Genomic DNA, 19,106 nt, shown 5'->3' with positions numbered 1-19,106 from the left:
AGTTTACTTCCTAGCACTTAATCTAGTCAAAATATTTTTCTTCACAACATTGCTACTTTCCGAATAACTCAGATGCTTAACTATATTCTGCCATCTAAATTTATATCTGCAATAAGGCATGGAGTGTGTGCATCAAATTTTAGGCAAATGAAAAAGAACTCGCCCCAGGATACTGTTATGGATGTGACAATTTAAGAAGCTACACATCATCTGAAACTATTCTATTTTCTTTGCCAGGGTTCAGCGGATTCCTACACAAGCAGGCCGTCTGACTCCGATGTCTCTTTGGAAGAGGACCGGGAAGCAATTCGACAGGAGAGAGAACAGCAAGCAGCTATCCAGCTTGAGAGAGCAAAGGTGAGTCTCTTTCCTTCTCTTTGGCTCAAAAGTGGGTCGTTGCTCAGTGGCTACCAGCTGCTCTTCCCTTACCTCACATTTCTGGAATAATCATTTTGTGATTATTCTAACAAGGCTCCAGATTGGGAAGCTCTCTGATCCTTTCACCTCTAAGTGAGGTTAGTAACATCTCCAAAGAGGCATTTCCTCAGAACCTTCACCTTTTTGTATTTGGTTTGGTGGTGAATTATTGGTCGTCTTCCAACTTAGCAATATCAAACCTCCCATGCCCAGTGTTGGCAGACAGCCCCCCAGGCACCAGCTGGCCCTGCCTATTCCTGGCCCCTCCTCATCCATTACTTCAGCCTTTATTACAGGCCACACGTGTGCTGTTGTTCTGTGGATCGCCCTGTTTGTTTCTCTACTCTTCTCTCTCGCTTTCAGTATCCCACCTCAAGTTCAGTGTGAAGTTCAGGACTTTGAACAACTCTGAGAAGTGCAGCAAAGACAAGCAATAAAGGCCATTGCCAAAATAGACCTTCAGATATTCCACAAGAAGAGGCCTCCATAGAAATCGCTGCATCCACAGGAAGCAGCAAGGAGCCAACTGCATGGTTGAAAGTTAGAACCAGAAGAGTCACTAGGGATCTCCCATTCCATGTGCTTCCAACTTTGTTTTGTTTGTTTGTTTGCTTTTTGATTTTTTGAAGCACGACCCTTTTTGTCCAATGAAATTTTATGCACAATAGCAAAATACAAGACAAGGTCATGGCCGGCCTGTCCTCTTTGCCCTACGTGACAGACTCCTAAGGTATATTGGTTCAGTCTTCTGATTTTTAGAAGAAGAAAAAACAGAAGCCCAAATAAAGTGAATTCCTTCCCTTTTCTATTTTTATTGTAAAATATTTAGAGGTGAGAGGCTGTGCATGGTGGCTCACATCTGTAATTCCAGCTACTTGGGAAGCTAAGGTAGGAGGATCACCTAGGCCCAGGAAATAAAGGCTGCAGTGAACTGAGATCACACCAGTGCACTCCAGCCTGGGCAACAGAGCAAAACCCTACCAAAAAAAAAAAAAAAAAAAAAAAAAAAGAGGGGCCGGTGCAGTGGCTTACGCCTGTAATCCCAGCACTTTGGGAGGCCGAGGCGGGCAGATCATGAGGTCAGGAGTTAGAGACCAGCCTGGCCAACATGGTGAAACCCCACCTCTACTAAATATACAAAAAATAGCTGGGCGTGGTGGTGTGCACCTGTAATCCCAGCTACTCGGGAGGCAGAGGCAAGAGAATCACTTGAACCCAGGAGGCAGAGGTTGCAGTCAGCCGAGATCACACCATTGCATTCCAGCCTGGGCAACAGGGTGAGACTCCGTCTCAAAAAAAAAAAAAAAAAAAGATGGGAGGAGAATGATGCAGTCAAATTAGGTGTCTTCATTTGCCTCAACACCTATGATGTCTGTACTCTGTTGGTGGAAGGGGCTTTTCTTGCAGTACATGTGAAGGGACATCAGTGAGGTTTCAGCCTTAACTGCTGTTCCCCAGTCAGATTCCCAGCACAAATACATAAGCTGGTAACAAAGCAGCTCAGAATATCAGGAATCTTGTGTCTCACTGTGGCTAATTTTTGTTACAAAATTTTCTTTCAGAATCTGTTTTGTGACCAGTGTGGTCACCCGAATTTGGGTGGCAGCACCGTTTGCTTAGGCTGGTGGTTTACGTGTCCCCACAGTGCTGTGCCAGCCTGAGAGCACTTTGCTGAGAGGCATTTGTGTAAAAAGAGTTTCAAAACCAGCTTCGTTAGCTAGAGAGAAGGTGATCTGTGAAGAGCCCTGCCCATCAGCTTTGACGCTGACTAACCCTTCTTTTCCCCGGCAGGACCAGATATTCTGTTGTATAGAATCCCACACGTTTTCAGATCTGGACTATTTAAAAAATACTATTTTATCCTCTTCCCACCTTTTTTTTTTTCTTTTTAAAAAGACCTTGCACACATTTCCTGTATTCCAAGTTAAGAAGCTATTGGTTATCATTTAAAATAAACACAGATTTTAAGATTAGAGAAGAGACTGTCCTCCCCTGCCTTTGTCTATCCCTCTTAATACTTTAGAGCACATTTTAAAATTTGGAATATTGGAAAGTATTGCAGGAAAGGAAAAATGGTTGGGCTGATAGGACCAATCATTTTCAGAGTCATCTCTGCAGGTTTCTTGATATTGCTTGAGAATGTAAAACTCATTTGAGATCCCTCTTTGGAAAGTTATTTCTCACTACCTGGTACTATCAGAGTTTCAATATGAAAAATGCTCCTCTCTCCTCCCTTCCTCATTCCTTATTCCATGGTTCTGTCCCTAGTCCAAACCTGTAGCATTTGCCGTGAAGACAAATGTGAGCTACTGCGGCGCCCTGGACGAGGATGTGCCTGTTCCAAGCACAGCTATCTCCTTTGATGCTAAAGACTTTCTACATATTAAAGAGGTAAATGTAGAACATACTGCATCCCTTCACCTGCCAAAAAGCTGAAGCCAGGAATCAGCTCTGAGCCAAACTAGCCAGAGAGGAGACCCAAGGAGCTGCCAGTGCAGTACATGATTTAATTTGCTGAGCCTCCCAAATCTAGTCATTCTCATTAAGATTGAGAAGTCTGAGATCATTGCTTGCATTATCACACACTGACAACATTAAATCACAGTCAACCTTAAAATTATAGCATAGATTTCTGACAGACCTCTATGGTCCTCTGGGCACCTTTAAATCCCCTTCTGTGACTGCAGAGCCATAAATATATGGATCCAACTTTGGAAAATGTAAGTTTGGTGTCATGGCACCTACCCAGAAGGGACTGTTTACAGGGGATGTTGTAATTATAGACATGTAGACTATAGTGCTGTGCACCTTGACTATGGAACCAACACTAGAGTGTATAATCATTCAAAGAAAGATTTACAGCTAAGAAAAGGGCAGAGGGCTCTGGGAAACAGAAAGGCAAAAGGGTAAAGTGTTTGAGTAGCCAAGAAGGGTGGGATCCAAGACCCCTAGTGGAGGGACAGACCTTTGATAGAAAGAAGAATGCTAATTCATTGTGACATGCAGGGAAAAGATGAGTGCAGGCACAGACACTTCAGGGCCTTGGGAATAGGAAACTGAGGACCCATCAACTTCAACCATGGCCTCTACTTTCTTGATGGTATATGAGGTGAGGATGTCTACATTTGTCTAGAAGACAAGAACTCTTGACCTGAAACATGTGCCCTGGCATCTGAATGGTTAAGTTGATTATGTCTCACCATTTCCATCAAAAATGCCCAAGCCATATTCATTAGTTGCTAATACCCACTGTGTCCAAGGAGAAGCACCACTTGAAAAGGTAAGAGATGTTCTTACATGTGACATGCACACTCACTCACACCAACATTCCAACCTTGTATTTGATTGCTTTCCTGCATTGTATCAAGGTCTCAATTTGTCCTGGCTGCTGTTTGAGCTATGTGCTTGTTGATCAGTGATTTTCTCTTCAGTCTGGCAGTTTGATGTGACATTGAGCTGGTAATCTTATGTGGACCAGAGCCTCTTGTTTTCATGTCTTGAAATTATCAGATAAGAAAACATCTTTGATATAGAAAGTGCTAATCATTTTAGGGAAATCCAAATAGAGAAGGGTTGGAACAACACCGAGGTGACCTCTGTAGAGAGCTGGCACAAGTTCCCAGAACATCAACACAAATGAATACATTTCTATAATCAAGTTATAGCCTTCCCTCTCATCCATCACTTAGAAGGCCATCTATTATGCACCATGTTAAGTAGTTTCTCAATAATAAAAAAAAAAAAGCTTAAATGCAGAGAAAAGCTACAACTATGCTTGTCACATAAGCCAAATGATGATCAAATTAAGCTCTTGATTTTACATAGTGACTTTCTCCCTAGTAACTCAAAAAATTCATTCCTCCTGAGTCAGATTCTCACTGTGCTTTCGCTGTTTCCTAGAACTAAGTTAAAACATTTTGGGAAGTTGAATTAACCATTTCAGCAAGCCCTTTAAAGTCATTTGGGTGCCATTTAACAAATGAGTGTTCCAGTGGGCTATGCCACTTCATTTCAGGAAGTAACTTAAGCCCTAGGAAACTATGACTCATGGTCTGTTTTGTCCTCAACACAGTAAAATTTAAATTCCAGACCTATGCACCCAAGATTCTAAAAGGGTCCCTTTGCCCTTTGTTAATTCCAAAATAAACAGACCTATTATTTTAGGCCTGTTATACTAAAAGACAGGAAAGTGGGGAAAAACAACTAAGACCTAGATTGTTCAAGGTTTTATATCAGGTCAATTCACATTTTTTTCTTTTCTTTTCTTTTTTATTTTTTTGGAGACAGGTTCTCGCTCTGTTTTCCAGGCTGGAGTGCAGTGATGCAATCACAGCTCACTGCTGTCTTGAACTCCTGGGCTCAAGTGATCCTCCCACCTCAGCCTCAGCCTCCCAAGTAGCTAGGACTACAGGTGCACTACTACACCCAGCTAATTGTGTAGTCTAGTATAGTGCACTACACTAGCTAATTGTGTAGTACACTAGGTAATTAGTAGTACACTACTATACTAGCTAATTGTGTAGTACACTACACTAATTGTATAGCTAGCTAATGGTGTAGTATTGTGTAGTACACTAGGACTACAGGTGCACTACTATACCCAGCTAACTGTGTGTGTGTGTGTGTGTGTGTGTGTGTGTAGACAGGGTCTTGCTATGTTACCCTGGCTGATTTCAAACTCCTGGCCTCAACTGATCCTCTTACCTCAGACTCCAAAAGTGCTGGGATTACAGGAATGTGCCACCATGGCCAGCCCTCAATTTACATTTATTTCAATGCAATCTCATACTTTATGCCACTCATATAGTATGCATGGAGAAGCTGTGTGCATAACAAAGGCCAAATTCTTACCAGAACATATTTCTCATGAGTGTGAAGCTGTTACTCAGAATAATTTAAAGTTTACCCAGAACTTCATGGTGTGATTATTCAATGAAACCTTCCATTCCTCCTTCATAATGTATCAGAATCATATATATATATATACACACACAGACATATATATAAATTTCGCTTTTCTATGAGCTCAGCAAAATATACTACATATCATTGTTACATTTTGAAAAAAGTATATGTTTATAAATATATATATTTTGGGTCAAAATAGGAGAGAATTATCTTGCCCAACACTGATAAAAACAGTAAAGGAAGTTTTTAGAATCATCTCCAGAGAGTTTAAACAATAGAGCTGGTATCTATTTTGTAGAAGTGACCTAGCTGAAACCTTTCCTTGAGGCAGGGAGCTTGAACTAAATTGCTTTCTGCTGTATAATTCAGCAAATGTATAATTAGAAATGCAATTTTGCCAATCCACCAAATAAGCCCACATTGACAGACTCTCACCCCACACTGGTTGAAGCCTTCTCATAGACTTGAGTTTGCTTGTCATGGAACTTAACTTAAATGGAAATTCTGGAGTTCCTCTTGGGCTTCAGAGCATTTGGAAGTTATTTGCAAAATTTCACATACAAATATATAATACGCTCAGACTTTGTAAGTGTAGGCATCTTTTTCTTCAAGTAGTAAGATGGACCTTAATTTGCAAATCTATATTTGAAAGATCATGACTCTTCCCCAGTGAGATTAGACCACAGATAGTATCGTGGAATTTTTAACTGAAAGCTTTTGACAAATTATGGACTATTAAATGTATTTCATCTCAGACATATCTGTCTTGCCTTCCAGAGTTCCAGTTACATTGGTGCATATTTATCCTTATAAAATATGTTCTTTAAGAATTGGTTAGAGCTTCTTGACAAAGACCAAAAGAATCCAAAGGTTAGGACCAGACATTAGTCCAGGGATTCACAAACTATAGCCCACAGGTCCAGTCTGACCCACTCTCTTTTTTGTAAAGAAAAGTTTTATTGAAACACAGCCATGCTCACTTGTTGATGTTTGTCTGTGGCTGCTTTCACACAAGGACAGCAGATTCAACTAATTGTAACAGAGACCACGTGGTCTGCAAAGCCTGAAATATTTACTACTTGGACCTTTACAGAAAAAGTTTGCAGAACCCTGCTTTAGTCTATGCATCTACCTCAGATATATATATATATAGTATGTATATATAGATATATATGTATATATAGATATCTATGTGTATATATAGATATCTATGTGTATATATAGCTATCTATGTGTATATATAGATCTATATATGCACACATACATATACAATATACTTTATATTAATATATAGTATAGGTATATATACACATATATACATACACAATATAGTTTATATAAATATAGTATATATAGATATATACATATATACATATACAATATAGTTTATATAAAATGTATAGTATAATATAGTATAGATATATAGATATATACACATATACAATATAGTTTATATAAAATGTATAGTATAATATAGTTTATATAAAATATAGTATATAGTATAGTATATAAAATATAGTATACACACATATACATATAAAATATAGTCTATAGTATAGTATATAAAATATAGTATACACACATATACATATAAAATATAGTTTATATAAAATATAGCATATCATATCATATAAATAGCATTTTATTCTTCTTGTCCCCTAAGATTAATAAACAACGTGAAGATAAGTGAATTACTATTGATAGCAATTTTATTTCTGAATTCCAGAAATATAACAATGATTGGTGGATAGGAAGGCTGGTGAAAGAGGGCTGTGAAATTGGCTTCATTCCAAGTCCACTCAGATTGGAGAACATACGGATCCAGCAAGAACAAAAAAGAGGACGTTTTCACGGAGGGTACGTTCCCATCTTTTCTATGCACTTTTTTTTGGTCAGAAAATTGGGTGATATTTTCAAGGGTGTATACTTTCAAAGTAGAAGATACTTTTCTGTGTGCAAAGTGTTTCTGAAACTGACACAGAAGAGTTTCAGATAGTTCTCTATCCTCTGTGCATGCTGAAGCCTAACACCACTGGAGACCATATGAATTCCATGGCAGAGACTGTTTTCTGTGGCCTCAGCAAGCCCTCCTTGGAACCCAAGCTTTCCTCTAGGAGAGTCACTTCGGGCATTCTTTCTCCACACAGTGAGTGGGAGCTGACCTGAACCAGCAGTATGGCTCCTCTTGGTTCGCTTACAGAGACTCTCCCTTAAGTGGGCACAAAATGTGATGGTATCGCCCCTACTGGGAAGTGAGGAGCCCCTCTGCCCGGCCAGCCGCCCCGTCCGGGAGGGAGGTGGGGGAGTCAGCCCCCCGCCCGGCCAGCCGCCCCGTCCGGGAGGTGAGGGGTGCCTCTGCCCGGCCGCCCCTACTGGGAAGTGAGGAGCCCCTCTGCCCGGCCAGCCGCCCCGTCCGGGAGGGAGATGGGGGGGTCAGCCCCCCGCCAGGCGAGACGCCCCGTCCGGGAGGGAGGTGGGGGGTCAGCCCCCTGCCCGGCCAGCCGCCCCGTCCGGGAGGTGAGGGGTGCCTCTGCCCGGCCGCCCCTACTGGGAAGTGAGGAGCCCCTCTGCCCGGCCAGCCGCCCGTCCGGGAGGGAGGTGGGGGGGTCAGCCCCCCACCCGGCCAGCCGCCCCGTCCGGGAGGGAGGTGGAGGGGTCAGCCCCCTGCCTGGCGAGCCGCCCCGTCCGGGAGGTGAGGGGCGCCTCTGCCCGGCCGCCCCTACTGGGAAGTGAGGAGCCCCTCTGCCCGGCCACCACCCCGTCTGGGAGGTGTACCCAACAGCTCATTGAGAATGGGCCATGATGACGATGGCGGTTTTGTGGAATAGAAAAGGGGGAAAGGTGGGGAAAAGATTGAGAAATCGGATGGTTGCTGTGTCTGTGTAGAAAGAAGTAGACATGGGAGACTTTTCATTTTGTTCTGTACTAAGAAAAATTCTTCTGCCTTGGGATCCTGTTGATCTATGACCTTACCCCCAACCCTGTGCTCTCTGAAACATGTGCTGTGTCCACTCAGGGTTAAATGGATTAAGGGCGGTGCAAGATGTGCTTTGTTAAACAGATGCTTGAAGGCAGCATGCTCGTTAAGAGTCATCACCACTCCCTAATCTCAAGTACCCAGGGACACACACACTCTGCCTAGGAAAACCAGAGACCTTTGTTCACTTGTTTATCTGCTGACCTTCCCTCCACTATTGTCCTGTGACCCTGCCAAATCCCCCTCTGCGAGAAACACCCAAGAATGATCAATAAAAAAAAAAAATGTGATGGTATGTGCAGGTCCCGGCACTGATAGTACCTTCTCCACCCCAGGCTTTTTGTGGCATCTCTTGTCTCCTGGTATTTGGGTGAAGACAGCTTCAGGTGAATCAACCTCTAGTGAGCTACTGAAGTAGGCATGTAGATCTCAGAGTGCAGGTATTTAAAGGTCCCAGGAACACAAGCACAGCTTGACAGAAGAGAAACCAAATCATCCTGAGTCTGCATGTATTGTGTCGCAGCCTGCACTGAAGCATTGATTTGATATGTTACACTTTTTTGAAAGTTCTAAAATAGAAGCAGCTCTTTCTCTTGACCCTCAACCTCTGTTTTCTGTTGAATGCTTTTCTATTTCAAAAAACTCCTGTGTTCTTTAGGCGCCTACCTTTGTCATAATAAGAACCGCACCAACTGTAATAGGAGATCACAAAAGTATAGTTACCCCACTTTTAATTACCAATCTTTTTTAGCATATAACTTGCCAATACTATTATTAATATTAATCCCTCTTGTCCCTTGTATTAGTCTGTTCTCATACTTCTTCTTTTTTTTTTTTTTTCTTAGAGTCTCGCTCTGTCGCCCAGGCTGGAGTGCAGTGGCGCAATTTTGGCTCACTGCAACCTCTGCCTCCTAGGTTCAAGCGATTCTCCTGACTCAACCTCCTGAGTAGCTGGGGTTACAGGCACGCACCATCGTGCCTGGCTAATTTTTGTATTTTTGGTAGAGGTGGGGTTTCATCATATTGGTCAGGCTGGTCTCGAACTCTTGACCTCGTGATTTGCCCGCCTCGGACTCCCAAAGTGTTGGGATTACAGGTGTGAGCCACTGTGCCCGGCCTGTTCTCACACTTCTATAAAATTGGAGAACTTATGAGGAAAAGAGCTTTAATTGTCATGGTTCTGTAGACTGTAAAGGAAGCATGGCAGCATCTGCTTCTGGGGAGGTCTCAGGGAGATTTTACTGGTAGCAGAAGGCCAAGCGGGAGCAGGTGTCTTACATGCCTGGAGCAGGAGGAAGAGACGGGGAGGTGCCACACACTTTTAAACAATCAGATCTCACTATAACTCACTCATTGTCACAGGAACAGCACAAGGAGATGGTGCCAAACCATTCATGAGGGACTGCCCCCGTGGTCCAGTCACCTCTCACCAGTCCCCACCTCCATCACTGGGGATTACATCTCAACATGAGATTTGCGGGGGACACAGATCCAAACCATATTATCCCTTTTTTTCTAAAATTTTGTCTTCCATGCCCCTTTTTAGACACATGGGGAGCATGTGTTCCTGTCTTGGGGTCTTTGCATTTGCTGTTTTTTCTTACTGGAACCTTTTTCTTCACACTTACACCCGGCCACTCCATCTGCTTTATATCTTTGTTAGGTATCACCCTTTCAGTGACCCCTTTCCTGCCAATTGTATTTAAAATTGTACCCACTCCCCTTCCCTGTACTTCCCATCCCTTCCCTGACTTAGTTTTCTCTGTTGCACTTATTACTCTCAGAAATATTATATATTTACCTATCTATCTTGTTTGGTATAAGCTGAGCATCCATAATCTGAAAAGCTGAAATCCAGAATGTTCCAAAATTTGAAACTTTTTGAGGACTGACATGATGCTCAAAGGAGATGCTCATTAGAGCATTTTCGATTTCAGACATTTGGATTAGGGATGTTCAACTAAGTATATAGTGCAAATTTCCGAAATCTGAAAACAGTGGAAATCCAAAACATTTCTGCTCCCAGGCATTTTGGATAAGGGATATTCAACCTGTACTGATATGTCCTACTAGTATATGACTCAATAAGGGAAAGGATTTTGTCTCCCCAATGCCGCTGTCTTATTTCTACTTTCCAAAACAGGGATGTACAATCCATATTTGTTGAATAAAATAACTGAATTATTATCATTTTCAAAGTTTTATTGTTATTATTATTTCTTAATTGTTACAGTCATGGGCCATATAACTTTTTTGTCAAAGACAAAAAGTAGGAAGGTGGCAGCTCCCGACGGCATTTGTGGGCTTCAGGGAAGCTTCCAGAGCACACCTGAGGAGACCAGAGTTGAGGATCTTCTATTTAAATAAATAATATTTTTCGTGACCAATTCCCTACGATCAGTTCTTAATTCTGATGCCCACATAATCATCTTGTAAGAAGAAATGGTTTCTCCAGGTCTAACTGCTTGTTTTGAGCTGTGTTTGACATCTGACTGGCACATTGGTGCCTGGTGTTAGGTTAACAAGCAGTTCATAAGACCATTCCCGTCAGTGATGGTTTTGTCTGATTTCCGCACTGAGTAACTAGAAGAGATGCTTTTGCAGAGTATTCCAGGTCTCGGCTAGTTCTCCACATTCTCTTAGAAATGAGGTCAAAGAAAACATTTGGATAGATTCTTGAAATTCTTTATAGCAGAATTTGGTGTGTTTTGAATTATTTAATAGGATGAGGGCCAAAGAAAGCTTTGTACTCTCAAGTTCTATTTTCAAAGAATCTGGGGAGTGAGTCTTTAGTTCCTTTTCTATATCCTAGGAAATCAAGTGGAAATTCTTCTTCAAGTCTTGGAGAAATGGTATCTGGGACATTCCGAGCAACTCCCACATCAACAGGTGAGGGTTGTAGTTAAACTCTTTTTCATACACTGTATTCCTTTTAAAAATATTTGAACACACATGCAAGTAGTTTTGCTAATTTGGAAACAATTTGAAGGCTTAATTTAAAGATTCTCTAATTAATATTTCATTTCTCATTTGTTTTCTATGGTAATTTGATTTCATTTAAAATGGTATTAAAAATTCATGTCATTAGAATATAATTTTGAAAAATCTTATTTACCCCTCAGTGTTAATAACTGTCCATTGTGTAAATTGATATTCAAAAAATTCATTATTTTACCTAAGGAACGGACAGAGTTTAAGATGGTGAAGGCCAATAAAAAAAGGAAAAAAATGATGCAGACTCTCAAGAAAATGCTGTTTTCAGTCTCCATGTGGAATTTCAGGATGTATTAGTACAGCCCGAGCTGGAAGGGTTGAAGCAGAGAGTAAGGCAGGGCCCAAAGGAGGGAGGGCCTCGTTTACATTTGGACAGCAGACAGCCAAGCCCTGGAATTAATGGTAATGAAGAGATATTGGTGGCCTAATAGGGAATTGTGGTACATTTGGAAACGATGGAGTTATTCATGTAGGAATTTTTCTTCTACCACATTCCCTGATTCCTATCGGCTAATTTCATTCTGGCCTAGAACTGCTGTTGCATTAGGGCATCCAGTGTCCTAGTTACCAATTCCAATTGTATTACCAATTTGGAATGGCAAGTCCAAGGCCCTATTCTGGCCTACCAAAACTGGAGGCAACTGGATTGGTTCTGGAGTGGTTCTAAGTGTCTGGGTCCTTGTTCATGTGAAGCCCTCTTATCTACAGGACACTGAACCAAACCAGGTTTCTGAGTTGTACCCAACTAGACTGGAGCTGCTTGGATGTCCACAGAATCGCTTTAAATCAGTTATTGAGTATATTTTGCTTCGTTCCCATTTGTTGGACATTCAGGACATTGAACACTTTAGCTATTACAAACAGGAAAGAACAGGAATAACTCATTATAAATTTATCTGAGGAATAACTGGTTATAAATGTATTTGAAATTTAGAAGCAAGATAGTAGGAAAAATGTGCCAATATTCTAGAAAATGGGCAAAAATGCCCAAGGGACTGCAGAATTATGAGTTAACAAATATAAAAATAACTATTGATTGAGGTGATAGTCATTTTTGCCCAAGTGGTTATTCTGTTTCCTTTTATGAAATTGCATTTGTCTACCTTGTTCCCAGCAACACTGTGCTGTGTCCAGCACGGGAACAACCCATGGTGATTGGCTGGCCCGGAACTTCCAGTGTTGCTCTCAACTCCTGTACCCAATTCCCACCCAGTGAGAAATCAGGATATAAGGTCATTTGTACCAGGGAGGAAGCTGTCTGTTTTTCATACATCTTCAAAATTGACGTGTCCAGAATGAAATCATAAGGCAGGTTCTCCAAAGTGGGCGATAGGAAGGTGGTGAAGATAATTACAGGGACAAATGGGTACATTCTTCCATCTTTTAAACTCATGTACTGTCATTTGCAGAGTTTACATATTTTGATATGGCTCTCGTTATTGTCTTTTAGCAAAACAGAAGCAAAAAGTGGTAAGTTGTGTTTCCTTTTTAAATCTACTGTTAAGGTTCCTATATATACATGCCTGCAATGCTCCATTTCAGTGACCCAAGTGGCTATAAAATAAGGGAAGAGCCTCCTCGGTGGGGACTTTGATAATCATTTGTCGTTCAACCTGAGAATTATGAAATTATGAATGTTGTGGCTGTGGAGAGGCATGCTCAACCTCACCTTGTCACGCGTGTCGAATCATCTTTTTCAGACGGAGCACATTCCTCCTTACGATGTTGTACCGTCAATGCGTCCGGTGGTGTTAGTGGGGCCGTCACTGAAAGGTTACGAGGTACAAATATCATCTGTTACTCTTCAGTTCTTGATCGAGCACCCAGGAGACAGTCATGTTGACGCTTGCTCCTCAAGGGTCTGTTTCCACGTGGGTCCTGATGGAAGCCAGTGCTCAGCATGGGAAGGCAGGGGGTACCGTGTGGGGCTCATGAGGCCCTCTGCCCTTTCTTTCCTCTCTTGCACACTTCTCATCTTTTATGTATTACATTGTTTAGAAATACCTCCCTCAAAATATTCACAATGGGAAGATCTGGTCAAAGATTTGCTGTACATTAAATGCAAAGAAAAGGACTTTATCTGTCTTGACCATTCTCATTATTATTAGAAGTAATAGAGAATGAACAGCACAAGAGGACAAACAATCAATCTTCCAGCAAACCCAAACCTTTAAAGCCCAAACAGAGTTCACCCTGCTGGGTTTTTAAGATGATGGCATATGCCACCAAATCCTTCTCTGCTTATTTATTTTAAAGGGCACATGTTTTAAAAGACCACTAAAAACATTAGTGAACTTTGGAGATTAAACAAAACCATGTGACAAGGAAAAGAGTAGAGACTTCGTTTCAGATGTTTGTTTTGACTTTGTGCTAGCTTGGATTAAAAAATAGGTAGAACGTGACATTAAACTCTGAAGGTGAGCAGCCTCCAGGGCACCATTCCCATCGAGCTAGGACAATGTGTGGCACATAGTAGGCACTCAGTACACATTTGCTGAATGAATTAATGAATCGCTTTCAGGCAGATCTAAGAATCCTGGCTCTATCCCCCTCTCTTTCTCTCTTGTCTTTCTCAGAGTTGGAAATGTCAGAGGGATGAGCAGGAGAGTGGTCTACAAAAATCCAGCCATGGGCATGGAGAATTTCCGCCAACATACACAAACTAGCAGGAAGGCTGAGTCCAGTGCTGGCCTCAGTTCTCTAGCTGCTCCTCACTGGAGGCAGGCACAACTCAGGCGTGCCAAGGATACCCGGCACCTGTGTACAAAGCCAGCCTGTTGTCTCCTGGCAGCAGTTCTATCCCCTAACGAGGGAAGAGGGAAGAGGGAAGAGGGTCTGGTGAACACTGCTGGTTTATTCCTCAACACCCTGGAGGAGAACCAAGGGGGGTGGAAATTAGCAATTGCACATGGTTAAGCATGAAAAACACCTTCCATGGTAACCTCCCCCTAGGAGACGAATGGCTACAATAAGGTCTTGGCTCATAGTACCCTTCCCTCCCTCCTCTCTCCCTTTTGACTTCTCTCTCTCTCTCTGCATGTGTTTGCCTCATTCTTTTTTTCTCACCTCTGCAAAGGTAACAGACATGATGCAGAAAGCCCTCTTTGATTTCCTGAAGCACAGGTTTGATGGGAGGTGAGAAATATAGATGTTTTTGTATTTTTATTTTCCTTTAACCAAACTTGTGTGATAAATTGAATTGTAGATCTATGTTTCCAGAGATTTCAGAAGTTCTCTAGTTAAAAGTTAACTCAGTATTCTTGGGAAGAATATAATAAAAGAACTCTGAAAATATGAAGTATAACATTGAGTCCCCAGTGAAGAAAGGACCATGAGAAGAAAAATAAGCCATTTGTTTTATTTAAATGTATATATCTTTATTTTCTCAGTTATTAATAATTTCATACCAAAATGTTTTTTATGAAAAAATATTAATTAAAATATATAATATTTCTCATGAGTATAGTGGCTTGCTGGTCAAACTAGGCAGTATTTGGGAATTGTGTATGTGTGTGTGTGTGTGTGTGTGTGTGTGTGTGTCATATGAAAGCATAAATGTCAAGTACTGAATTTCCTCAAAAGAAGAGAGTGAGAATTATTTTAATCATAAGCCTCCCAAAGTGATCATTTTGTAGGGAATAGTACTTATTTGGATATTTATTATAGTTGTGGGTTGTTTTTATTAGAAATGTCCTTGTTATTTTATTGATCTTTTTTTAATGTATTTTACTATGATCCATCAACAATATGGCTCAGGCATTAGCCATTAAATAATTTTATCATTTAAGTTTTGTGAAAAATTCTAAAGAAAGTTTCTCTGTTTTGCAGAGAAATGGTAAAAAGCCTGTATTGACTCAATTCTAAATATTAAGCTCTTTCACAGTGCTGAATGCAGTCCATGTAAAAATAACCACATGAAAAAACCTGAGATTTATCAGAAATGTAGGAAATTTAAATGGGGTGCATCAAAAAGTATGGGCAAATGCATCCAGTTTATTACTGTAGGATTGAAGAAAAACATCACATTCTTTATTTTTGAAGGCAGTAATTAAGCCATTCACTTTCTCTTTGCTAAATTATGAGAATCCACTAAATGCACAAAATAATTTTAAAATGTAAAAAAACTTCAGATAGATTTTAATAAATTGGTATATTAAGAATAAAAACAAGCATGGTATTGCTTTAAATATAAATTGTATGCATTTGTTAAAATAAAAGCTTTCTGGATAATTGGGTAAAATATTCATTAGTTTCTGGAACAATATAGAAAGTTAGTAAACAGATTTTAGTTTAAGAAATAAGAATGCTTCTAGGTACATTAGTATATAGGTCAGGCTGCCTTAATAAATAGACCCCAAAATGTGTAGTGATTCAAACACAATGGAAGCTTATTATTGCTCACTTAACAGTCTGAAGCAGGTGTTCCTTGGCTGGGAGGGAGGATAGAGTTGGGGGAGGGGAGAATTGGGCAGAAAGTTTGTTCCCTCTGTCATTTGGGGCCCTTAGCCCAGGTACGATGTCTCTAGTCAGCTTGCCCGGCCTGGAGGTAGCGCAACTGACATTTCACTGGTTAGAACTTGGTTATGTGGTCATACTTAATTGCAGCGGAGGCACTCTTGCAGTCCAGGAGGAAGAGGAGATAGAATTTGTTGAATCAATAATAGCCTTCGTCACATTCATCTACTGGACAAAGGCTTAATAAGAAAGATGTATTTGTTCCATTTCACTCTCTTTAAAAAAGAAATAGGCAGATAATGAAGTAGCTTCAAAGAAAATAAGTTAAAAGCCCTGAATCCTAGAGCATTGGAGTTGGAAGGATACATAAAATGTCTTTTAGACTCATCATTTCTCCAATAACCACAATCAGATAGACAACCTGCTTCTGTTTGAAACTTTTGGTTATTGGGATTACACTTTCTAAAAAAGCATTGCAAAAAAATAGCTGAACTCTGACTTTGTAACTTAATAGGGCTGGTCTTGGTCTTGCTGTCTGATGCTCTGGCCTTAACCCTAACCCTCATGCAGGTCCCTGTGGATTGAAGGCAGCCAGCATGCCTTGGTCGCACGTGCATAGTTCCTTCAGATATGTATGGAGTCACATGGTTTCAACCTGTGGAGCTGTTACCTAAGGCAGTTCTGAGCAGTGCCGAATCCACTGGCCCCATAACAGCCCTATCTGAACAAATCCCATCCCATAAGACAGTGTTAGATTATTTTGGTCTATAACATACTTATACGCAACAGTGCTGTTAAAGGTTTGCCCTCAAGAATGAAGAATCTGATGTTCTTCCTCAATCCTGAGGCCCAGAAAAAGGGAATTTATTTAATTGTAACAGCAGAGATTTGTCTCGAATCAAGTAGAATTGTCGCATCCATTACTGTACACATACTACTGAAGTTGGTTTTAATAGAAATTGAATGCAAATTTCAATCTCAAGTATTCATGGGGTCTGATGACATGGCAGAGGGTCTGGAGGAAGAGCCCAGCAGTAGCAAAAGTAATAGCTGAAGAGAGAGACTTAGCCCTGGAGAAATCTGATATATTTCTCCAGCAGGAGAAAGATAGGTAGATATTAAAGGGGTGAGGGGTGAGAGAATGGACTTGATTTCAAATATTAAGAGGCCAGGCAGCAGAATGAACAATAAGGAGTTCCTTGGTTGAGTGTATGTGGAGACTTTGATAAGAAAGAAATTCGCTGGTAGCGTCACACTGACTCTGACATGTCTTCTTCGTGGGGAATATCGTTAGGTTTTGAGCTATAACATCATGCTGCATTATGTTTTACCAATTGATACAAGGAGAGAAAAAAACAAATAGTCTTTAATTGAAACCAGCCAAGAGAACAATGACAAGGAAGGCTTTAGCACAGTGACACGGCATAAACAATATGTTCTAATGGAAACCTACTCTGTGTTTCATGGGCTATGAATGCAGTACGTTAGACAAAATAGGAGAAAGTCCTATTATTTTTCAGAAAGTACAAAGAAGGGATCTGTTGGCTACGAGGCTTTCTTCTTTAATCTGCTTTTCAGATCTTAGTAGAAAATAATTCAACAAATTGGATGAAAGTCCAACAGTTTGACTATTGCAGAATCATAAACTTGGGATTTTTTTGATACCTTAGAAATTATTTGAGTCAGTTTAGAGCTACTTATTATACAATTTTATTGCTGTAGCTGCTATTGTGGGGCCTAACTGTAATACATGTAAGAAAAACAGAATACTAGGCTGGGCGCAGTGGCTCATGCCTATAATCCCAGCACTTTGGGAGGCCCAGGTGGGCAGATCACCTGAGGTCGGGAGTTCGAGACCAGCCTGACCAACATGGAGAAACCTCATCTCTAATAAAAATACAAAATTAGCCAGGCGTGGTGGCGCGTGCCTGTAATTCCAGCCACTCGGGAGGCTGAGGCAGGAAAATCACTTGAACCTGGGAGGCAGAGGTTGCGGTGAGCCAAGATCATGCCATTGCACTCCAGCCTGGGCAATAGGAGCAAAACTCTGTCTCAATAAAAAAAAAAAAAAAGAAAGAAAGAAAGAAAAAGAAAAACACAATACTAAACAGTTCCTGAGCGCCCTCTGTATTTTTGAATATCTACATGAAGCAATGATTCCTGTGCTGACGACGACACAGTGGATACACAATGGGCATGGAGCTTCTCTCTTCATTTCACACCACAAATATTAATTGGGGATTACCCATTTGGATGAGGTTTGTTCAGCTGGCTGAATCTACCATTCACAGGCTGAACAGCCAGCAGTCAAACCAGTTGCAGTTTGTTGACCTATGCCAATCATTTCAAATCCCCCAAAAAGTTGTTACTTTAGGCTTTTGACAACTGGATCAGATCAACTCTGTGACATTTATTGGACAATTTGTAACTGATAATGATCATGGCCAAAAATCTTAGATGAACATCGTGTAACCTACACAGATAGGATCTCAAGCTAAAGGATGCTTTTAGCCTAAGAACACATAAAGGGAAAAAAAGGGCTTGAGAAAGAATTTGAAAGAAAAGAAGCTAAACATACAACTTAGGGAGACTCAAAGCGATAGTATTTATTAATAAAAAGAAATGGGAACAATTGGTGCTGTCACAAGGCAACCAAGCCATATAAGAATGAAGATAATTTCTAATTGCAGTCAACAAATGGAAAAAGAACAGCAGCAACTTCCGTTTCGTAATCAATTTCATTCTCCTATGCATTCTTCCTACTGTTTTCTATTCAAATGCAGACTCATAAACAGCCACTCAAACACCAGTAATAATTAATTGAACACTTGAGTGTCAAACTTGAATATTTAAATTAGTAGGTTTTGAGTACAGTGTATCTGACCTGATTCTCTCACCCACATTTCACGGACTCTGGGAATGAGAGGGGTCATGGTAGACTGCCCACTTTTGAGAGTAGGACATAAGGAAACTATCTCCTTCGAGTCTTTAAATCTCCAATAATTGTTTGCCTTGTGTACATTATATATGTGTTTATTAACAGAGGACACTATGAATAATTATTTAAGAATGCGCTTTTATATATAACCTTATTTGCTCTTAATGGCAACCCCATGAGATAGTTATGGCAAAGCTACTATTGCCATTTTATTGATTAGGATACTGAGGTCAAAAGATGGAATGACTCATGCAACTACCAAGACAAAGATCCAGGAAGATACTCGGGTCTCCTGTGCCTTTCCATTCTCCTGAAAGTGCACTGTTGCATTCTTCGGAACACTCTTCCCTACTAATACCAGAAGTTTTCAAAAATTATTATACTGTCTGGGCTGCATATTGGATGTAGCAAGGATAG

The 19,106-nt window shown here is 40.7% G+C and overlaps 1 protein-coding gene across 24 annotated transcripts in view, besides 1 other annotated feature; it reads left to right on the top strand.

Annotated features, from left to right (window-relative positions):
- CACNB4 (calcium voltage-gated channel auxiliary subunit beta 4) overlaps positions 1 to 19,106 on the top strand; it is a 266,397-nt gene that overhangs the window by 215,560 nt on the left and 31,731 nt on the right. For 10 of the 24 annotated variants that reach the window (NM_001145798.2, NM_000726.5, NM_001005746.4 and 7 more), the window contains 7 exons: positions 238 to 357; positions 2,686 to 2,808; positions 7,052 to 7,182; positions 11,115 to 11,191; positions 12,747 to 12,766; positions 12,997 to 13,077; positions 14,373 to 14,431. In NM_001145798.2, coding sequence (NP_001139270.1) covers positions 238 to 357; positions 2,686 to 2,808; positions 7,052 to 7,182; positions 11,115 to 11,191; positions 12,747 to 12,766; positions 12,997 to 13,077; positions 14,373 to 14,431 — 611 coding nt within the window. Of the gene's footprint in view, positions 1 to 237; positions 358 to 2,685; positions 2,809 to 7,051; positions 7,183 to 11,114; positions 11,192 to 12,746; positions 12,767 to 12,849; positions 13,078 to 13,872; positions 14,432 to 19,106 lie in introns of those variants that run through there. The other 14 variants (XM_011511797.4, NM_001330113.2, NM_001330115.2 and 11 more) reach the window with 7 other exon arrangements.
- Positions 7,988 to 8,661: an enhancer, noted in NCBI's record as "OCT4-NANOG-H3K27ac-H3K4me1 hESC enhancer chr2:152731461-152732134 (GRCh37/hg19 assembly coordinates)". NCBI's record gives its function as "activates a minimal SCP1, AML or CMV promoter by ChIP-STARR-seq in naive H9 embryonic stem cells {active_cell/tissue: H9 hESC(naive)}" and the evidence as "EXISTENCE:reporter gene assay evidence [ECO:0000049][PMID:30033119]".

This window comes from Homo sapiens, chromosome 2 (assembly GCF_000001405.40).
Source record: "Homo sapiens chromosome 2, GRCh38.p14 Primary Assembly".
Taxonomy (NCBI): domain Eukaryota; kingdom Metazoa; phylum Chordata; class Mammalia; order Primates; family Hominidae; genus Homo; species Homo sapiens.
This window is presented reverse-complemented; position numbering and strand designations above follow the sequence as displayed.